General features: G+C 40.6%; 1 protein-coding gene across 2 annotated transcripts in view, besides 2 other annotated features; it reads right to left on the reverse strand.

The window, feature by feature from the left end:
• NSD3 (nuclear receptor binding SET domain protein 3) overlaps positions 1 to 8516 on the reverse strand; it is a 112568-nt gene that overhangs the window by 103399 nt on the left and 653 nt on the right. The window lies entirely within an intron of this gene.
• Positions 4910 to 5411: an enhancer, noted in NCBI's record as "OCT4 hESC enhancer chr8:38235530-38236031 (GRCh37/hg19 assembly coordinates)". NCBI's record gives its function as "activates a minimal SCP1, AML or CMV promoter by ChIP-STARR-seq in primed H9 embryonic stem cells {active_cell/tissue: H9 hESC(primed)}" and the evidence as "EXISTENCE:reporter gene assay evidence [ECO:0000049][PMID:30033119]".
• Positions 7692 to 8226: an enhancer, noted in NCBI's record as "OCT4 hESC enhancer chr8:38238312-38238846 (GRCh37/hg19 assembly coordinates)". NCBI's record gives its function as "activates a minimal SCP1, AML or CMV promoter by ChIP-STARR-seq in primed H9 embryonic stem cells {active_cell/tissue: H9 hESC(primed)}" and the evidence as "EXISTENCE:reporter gene assay evidence [ECO:0000049][PMID:30033119]".

Here is an 8516-nt window from a genome sequence, read left to right on the forward strand (position 1 = left end):
CAATACATTTTTGTCCCTAAAGTCCAACTACCACCAAAGCAATACCAGCTAAACCAATGAGGTTGTCTCTGCAGCTTTTCTTAAAGGACTTATTACCTGGGTGATAGTTACCCGATGTTCACTTCTTTTTTTTTTTGAGATGGAGAGTCTTGCTTTGTCGCTCAGGCTGGAGTGCAGTGGCGCAATCTTGGCTCTCTACAACCTACGCCTCCCTTGTTCAAGTCATTCTCCTGCCTCAGCCTCCCGAGTAGCTGGGATTACAGGCGTGTGCCACCACGCCTAATTTTTGTATTTTCACTTCCTAATTATTTGTTTATACTGTACATTCAAGTTTTATATGCTTTTTTTTATATTTCACATTTCATAACGTAAAAGGCTTTAAAATGCCTATTTCTTAAAGTTTTTGTTTGTTTTTTACATATAGCTTTCTTAAGCCTCCACAGCTAAGAGAAATTAGATAACATAAGATTCAATAGACACAATATTGTCTTGGCTATGGCCCAAATGCCACTAGGAGTATCTCCATATGATCTTCTTAATCTCAAATCAATTTGATAAACTAATTTTTTTAACCTATGAAATCCCAATAAGCTACCCATTCTTAAATTTAAAACGCCTCCCTATAAGGATCACTTGAGGCCAAGTGTTCAAGGCCAGCCAGGCAACAAAGTGAGACTCCATCTCTACAAAAAAATTTTAAAAAATAGCTAGGGGGACCAGCACAGTGGCTCATGCCTATAATCCCAACACTTTGGGAGGACGAGGTGGGAGGATTGGTTGAGCCCAGGAGCTCAAGACCAGCCTGGGCAACTTGGCAAAACTCTGTCTCTACAAAAAAAAAAAAAAAAAAAAAAAAAGCAAAACTAGCTGGGTGTGGTGGCACACGCCTGTAGTCCCAGCTACTCAGGAGGCTGAGGTGGGAGGATCACCTGAGCCTGGGAAGTTGAGGCTGCAGTGAGCCATGACTGTGCCACTGCACTCCAGCCTAGGTGGTAGAGGAAGACCCTGTCTCAAAAAAAAAAAAATTAGTTGGGCAGGGTGGCACATGTGTGTAGTCATAGCTACTCCAGAGGATGAGGCTAGGAGAACTGCTTGATCCAAGGAGTTCAAGACTGCAATGATCTAGGATCATGCCACTACACTCCAGCCTGGGCAAGAGAGCAAGACCCTGTCTCTAAAAATAAAAAAAATAAATAAATCTATATATCTTAGGAAATATGTATATAACTTACACCAAAATAAGAAAAAGCACACCTATGTAGAAAAATACTTGTTACTTAATATTTAATTATCTATTAGAATGTGGGTAATATAAGCTATGAAGAAAAATCAGGACACACACAGTCTTAATTTGTTTTAAGTAATCATACAGAGCCCGGCGCAGTGGCACCTGCCTGTAGTCCCAGCTACTAGAGAAGCTGAGACATGAAGACTGCTTGAGCCCAAGAGTTTCAGTCCAGCAGAGGCAACAGAGCCAGACCCTGTCTCACAAAAAAAGAGAAAAGATTAATTATACGGAAATCTGAAAATTTTATTCTCCGTAACATGACAGTCTATTTGGCCTGAAGGGGTCTCTGAAATCTTAATTTTCCCATCTTAAGACTGAGTTAAATAATTCTTGCCTGGGCGCAGTGGCTCACGCCTGTAATCCCAGGACTTTGGGAGGCCGAGGTGGATGGATCACGAGGTCAGGAGATCGAGACCATCCTAGCTAACACGGTGAAAACCCATCTCTACTAAAAATACAAAAAATTAGCCGGGCGTGCTGGGGGGCGCCTGTAGTCCCAGCTACTCGGGAGGCTGAGGCAGGAGAATGGCGCGAACACGGGAGGCGGAGCTTGCAGTGAGCCGAGATCGCGCCCCTGCACTCCAGCCTGGGCAACAGAGGGAGACTCTGTCTCGAAAAAAAAATTTAAAAATAAATAAATAAATAATAATTCTTGTGCTTTCTAACTTCACATTTTTAAAAAGCCAAGTTATTCTGTGGGAATTCTACCAAACACCTCAGAAGATGCCACATAAATGTAAGGTATTATTCATGTTTTATCTTTCCATGCTACACATGGCTAAAACTGAAACAGTATGAATATTAACAATTTTCATTTTCCTAGTCACTTGCTCTAAGTAGCCCTAAATGTAGATGGAAAAAAGAACCTAGTAATTAAATATTAGAAGGGGGAAAAGTTATCACTGTAGATCAGTTAATGACGATAAAGATCCACATCTAAAAAAACAAGCTAAGAATACTTTTTCAAAGAGCTTTTTCAAATTCAAAATCTTATCAAAAAAGTTGTGCTTTAGGAGTAACAACACATCCATGTGGTAAAAACTGAACATTCTCTAAGTCCACAAAATTTAAAATATACCTTTACCTTCTTTTCATGCTACACAGTGCAGGTACAACATACTACAGAAGTGTTTAAAGTCTTTATTACATATTTACTAACAGCAACAGTAAAAATGAAAACAAAACTGTAAGCTTTTTAAAAAAAGGTTAGATAATGTTAGTATAAGCAATTTCTTACATTTGTCCTTGTTAATATAACAATATAAGTATAATTATTTATAACTTATAAATATAATTCATAAAAAGATTGGCCTGCAGAAATAAAGTTCACCATTCATTTAAAAACTCAAATGCTGGACATGTTTATTAACAAATAAATGAATCATCTTAGTTGCTTTTTCAAAAAATAATAGACTGCTTTTAAAAAAAAAGTAAAACTAAAAACAGAATTGCATTGAAAAACAGATTTTATGGACAGATGCCAAGTTCTAAGCATTTTTAAAGTTTTAACAATTTTAATTTCTGAAGTATCTACAACAGACAAGACTATCTTTTTGTTTTAAAAGATCCCAATGAATAAGTAACCCATTTTCTTCTTGATAGAAAAAAAAAATTAAATAAAGTAAGCAACAGTCCATGCTAAGATTTTTAACTTGTTTTCAAATAGGGATTTTTAGCTCACTTTAAAATTTTTACCAATGTCTCTATTTTTTTTCCAGGTCCTTTTCTAAGACCATGATGGACCTCTAATTTTTTTCGTTTCATCGCTATCTTATTTTATTGATAATTTTATTCAAACAAGAAAAAGTCCACTAAAATCCACTTCATACAAAAACACACACCTCAAGATAACTTGGACACAATTCATTTTTGCATGTAAAAATATTTTATGCATATATGTTCACAACATGGTGAATAAAATATGAAAAAATACAAGATCTCTTGCCTCACTGCAGCTTACTCCCCTTTAACTCTTTCTACTAAATATACTTAACCTTAAGTTTGCCCCCTCACCTTGAGTTTTCATAGGCAGCTCTAATTCTTTCTTTCTTTTTTTTTTTTTGAGACAAAGTTTTGCTTTTATTGCCCAGGCTGGAGTGCAATGGCGCGACCTCAGCTCACTGCAACCTCTGCCTCCTGGGTTCAAGCGATTCTCCTGCTTCAGCCTCAAGAGTAGCTGGGATTACAGGCGCACACCACCGGGCCCGGCTAATTTTTTGTATTTTTAGTAGAGACGGGGTTTCACCATGTTGGCCAGGTTGGTCTTGAACTCCTGACCTCAGGTGATCCACCCGCCTTGGCCCCGCAAAGTGCTGGGGTTACAGGCGTGAGCCACTGCGCCCGGCCAGGCAGCTCCAATACTTTAAGGAAGTAATAGGTTGTGCTGTAAAGAACCAAGTAACGGGTTTGTCAAAAAAGCCCCAGACTTCACTTCCATAGGCCTCAGTTTTCTCTCTTCTAAAATAAAGTAGTTGTACTATCTCTCTTCCATTTAACAGGCTATTAGGAACTTAATTCAGGACCAACTATTATTTACTTATAATAGCAAAACCTGCTAACAAACTAAATGTTAATCGATGTTTTAAACAATGAAATACTTACAAGACTCTTTAAAAAAAAAAGCTGTGGATCCATATGTACTAATTTTTATTGTTTTTGTTCTTTGTTTTGTTTTGTTTTTGAGACGGAGTCTCGCTTTGCCTACCAGACTGGAGCGCAGTGGTACAATCTCAGCTCAGTGCAACCTCCGCCTCCTGGGTTCAAGCGATTGGCCTGTCTCAGCCTCCGGAGTAGCCGGGATTACAGGCACGCACCACCATGCCCGGCTAATTTTTGTATTTTTAGTAGAGACGGGAGTTTCACCATGCTGGCCAGACTGGTCTCAAACTCCTGACCTCAAGTGATCCTCCTGCCTCAGCCTCCCAAAGTGCGGGAATTACAGACGTGAGCCACCATGCCTGGCCTTGTTTTGTTTTTGAGACGGAATCTCGCTCTGTCATTCAGGCTAGAGTGCGGTGGCGCAATCTCAGCTTACTGCGGCTTTCCCCCTCGGGGTTCAGGCAGTTCTCCCATCTCAGCCTTCCGAGTAGCTGCGATTACAGGCGCCGCCACCACACCTGGCTAATTTTTGTATTTTTAGTAGAGATGGGTGTTTCGTCATGTTGGCCAGACTGGTCTCAAACGCCTGACCTCAAGCAATCCGCCCGCCTCAGCCTCCCTCCCAAAGCGCTGGGATTACAGGCGTGAGCCACTGCGCCCAGCCGTGGATTCATAGGTACTAATTTAAAAAGATGTCCCAGATAGGCTGTTAAAATGAAAAAGTGGCCAGGTGCGGTGGCTCACGCTTGTAATCCCAGCACTTTGGGAAACCTCGTCTCTACTAAAAATACAAAAATTAGCCGGCACGGTGGTGCATGCCTGTAATCCCAGCTACTCGGGAGACTGAGGCAGAAGAACCGCTTGAACCGGGAGGTGAAGTCTGCAGTGAGCCACGATCGCGCCACTGCACTCCAGCCTGGGCAACAACAGCAAAACTATCTCAAAAAACAAACAAAAAAACAAAAAAGCAAAATGCAGATAGTATGATCCATTTGAAAATATTTTAAGAGAAATATACACATACATGCATAGAAGTTTTCCAGAGGGACATACAAGAAACTTCAAGTGGTTATCAGTGGAGAAGAATGCTAACTTTATTTTTTTAACTTCTTAGCCTTCTGTAATATGTGAATATGTGAATAACTTTTTTTTTTTTTGAGACACTCCAACCTGGGCAACAAGAGTGAAACTCCGTGTCAAAACAAACAAACGAACAAACAAACAAACTCCATCTTGGCCGGGCGTGTTGGCTCATGCCTGTAATTCCAGCACTTTGGGAGGCCAAGGTGGGCAGATCACGAGGTCAGGAGTTTGAGACCAGCCTGGCCAACATAGTGAAACCCTGTCTCTACTAAAAAAAATACAAAAATTGGCCGGGCACGGTGGCTCACGCCTGTAATCCCAGGACTTTGGGAGGCCGAGGCGGGTGGATCACGAGGTCAGGAGATCGAGACCATCCTGGCTAACACCGTGAAACCCTGTCTCTACTAAAAAATACAAAAAATTAGCAGGGCGTGGTGGCGGGCGCCTGTAGTCCCAGCTGCTCCAGAGGCTGAGGCAGGAGAATGGTGTGAACCCGAGAGGCGGAGCTTGCAGTGAGCCAAGATCATGCCACTGCACTCCAGCCTGGGTGACAGAGCGAGACTCCGTCTCAAAACAAAAACAAAAACAAAAAAACACAAAAATTAGAAGGGCATGGTGGCGTGTGCCTGTAATCCCAGCTACTCGGGAGGCTAAGGCACGAGAATCACTTGAACCTGGGAGGTGGAGGTTGTATTGAACCGAGATCGCACCATTGCACTCCAGCCTAGACAACAGGAGTGAGACTCCATCTCTCAAAAAAAAAAAAAAAAAAAGTACTAACTTCATAAAACTGTTAGGAGGATAAAAGGAAATCATGCATGTGAGACACTCAGCATAGCACAGTGTGAGGACAACTGTGAGCAGCTATTAGTGGATTATGAATATTATTATAAATTCCAGAAACGCTGTCATTAGAATCAGATTTGACAGTTCACTCAACAATCACCAATCTCAAAGACAGTTTCCTTTATCCAAAACTCATTCAATCTGATCAGTGTAAGAGACGGCATTTGTTAATTTAAGGGTTAGGGAAAAAAAGAAAAAAAAAAGCCAACACAGGTAACAGGTGGGCTGATGGACATATTAATTGGTTATAAGTGTTATTTAACAAGAGTAGGCTTCTTCGTATATGAATACCTGTCCAAGGAACCAGGATACTTATGACAGCTGGGCAGGAACCCTGATCTTTAAAGGATGCTGCATACATAAAAATAAACTTTTTCTTTTTTTTTTTTTTAAGCAATGAAAGCTTCCAACACAAATTTTTCTATTTAATGATTGCTTATTTTCCTAAAAATTTGCAGCACTGATAGCTCATGCACACAATTTACCAGCTAATTACAAATAACATGTCAATCAAGTAGGAGATATAAAACTTAAATTGCCATAAAAATAAATTCCAGAAAAAGCATGCTGAATTTTTTTTTTAATGCAACTGTTCCTCACAGAATTTCAAACAAATTCAGGCTGAATATTATCAAATTAAAATACTACAAGCTGAGAGGGTGCTTTTAGTGTAAAAGCCAGATTTACAAAGTACCACTTTAACAACATTCAATTTCATTTTTCTAACAAACCAAGAATATATCCTAAGCTTCTGTATAACAACTGAGAGGATGTTGCCATTTAGGTAGGTTAAATGTAGTTCAACTGGTTTGAGTCCACCATATTACAATGTTAACAGGCCTTCTTGGTATTAGAGAACAGTTTCAATATCAATGTGATAGGTTAAAGTTTGGATTACTCCAACTGCTATAATAAAAACAAAAGGTCACACACACATTTAATCCAATATGAAATAAAATAGGCTCTACTTAACACCAATGTATGTTCTGTAAATTTGTCAGGATTTAAACCTTAGAATAGTAATTATTTCAAATTGTACAAGTAGTTACAGTTGAATATATTAGTTACTGTAGTTTCCTGAGAGTCAACTGAAGTTTCAATCAAAAAACGAACAAACAAAACAACAACAAAAAAACCCTGGCATCTCAATGAGACTCTAAGAACTGCATGCCTACTTCACAGATCATTGCACTGTGCTGAACTGGCATCTGGAGATTGTATTGAGCCAGCTACATGAAGGCAAAGAGAAGAGATGGGGAAAAGAGAGTTTATTTAAAAAAGAAAATACTATTCTTAACACACTCATCACTTAACACGCTCATCACCTATAAGCAAGAGCTATCAGAAATACTATTTAAAAATACATACATTTCTAATTTTTCAACATTCAAAATACAGCAAGCCGATAATCTACCACAAGCAGAGCTTCCTACCCCTTTCACCCGGACACAGCGCTTTGCCAAGAGCACAGGCCCAAGTAAAATAACCGATGCAATTTCCTTGTTTACTTAAAGAATTGCAGAAAACATGTTGACTGCTTCTGAGGCTTCCGAAACAAACGAATTTTCAATACGTAAAAGACTTCACGATCATGTTTGATATGTAAGCGTAGTAATGATTCCTTCAGCTAGTAAAAATCTAGTTTTAAATTGATTAAATGGGTTAAATTTACACTGCAGCTCATTAGCATACCTTGTTTGCAACCAGAAGGAAGAGGGTAAAGAGAGGGAGAAAAGCATCAAAAAGGTAGTGATGGAAAACATCACTACCTCCTTTGGCGGTTATGAATAATTTAAAATGACCCAAGACGTAAGGGGAAAAGAGTTCATGAATAGAAAGAAAGGGGGCTAACAGTCTGAATTGGCCCCTTCCAGATTCATACTGATGTCGGAGAGGAAAAGGAATTTATTTACACTGCAGTGCCTTGGCAGCAAACATGGCTGCCCCTGCCCCCTTTAAATCGAAATAATCTTCACTCCCTCCCCAAAACCATCAAATTATGGCCATGTCTCTCCCTGCCTCCCTTCCATAACACAAACACATCGCCTTCTCCCTCAAAACAGTAAAACCCACACCTCCCCATTTCACAACAATCACAATCCCATAACCACCAGCTTCTCTATTCTCTAGCCTTGAAAGAAAGACACAGAATACACACAAATACAGGAACAAAAGGCCTCCCTTCCTAACACTTTAACGACCTCCATCCCCTTCTCTTCCTCCCACTCTGACGCTAAGTCGATCGTTCTCATCCCTGTCATCATTCAGTTAATTTCCTTCCCTAGCCCAATCCTGTCTTCCAGTTTCCTGCGTCTATTTCCCATTCTCCTATTGCAGCCTGCCTCATCCCCTTTCCTAATCCACCTTTTCCTTCACTTCCATTCCTCATTTCTCCCTTCATTCCCATAAAATGCCCCATTTCTCCAGCAAATTTATCCCCTTCTCCCAGACTCTTCTGGTTCCTACACTCCATCCCCAAATCTCCCTATTTATCAGTCCACCCAGGTCTGTAATCTCCATGCAACTCTTCTCCCCTTTCCCTGCCCCTCCCCGATCCATCCTTATCCCCGCCCCCATCCCACTTTCCCAATTCCCAGCTCAGCGCCACTCCGACTCCCATCCCACTCCCCACCTCCCCTGGCCCACCCCCCAATTCCCTCCACACCCCCCACCTTGCCATCTGCTCCTCCGTCAGGACTCC

This window comes from Homo sapiens, chromosome 8 (assembly GCF_000001405.40).
Source record: "Homo sapiens chromosome 8, GRCh38.p14 Primary Assembly".
Lineage (NCBI taxonomy): Eukaryota > Metazoa > Chordata > Mammalia > Primates > Hominidae > Homo > Homo sapiens.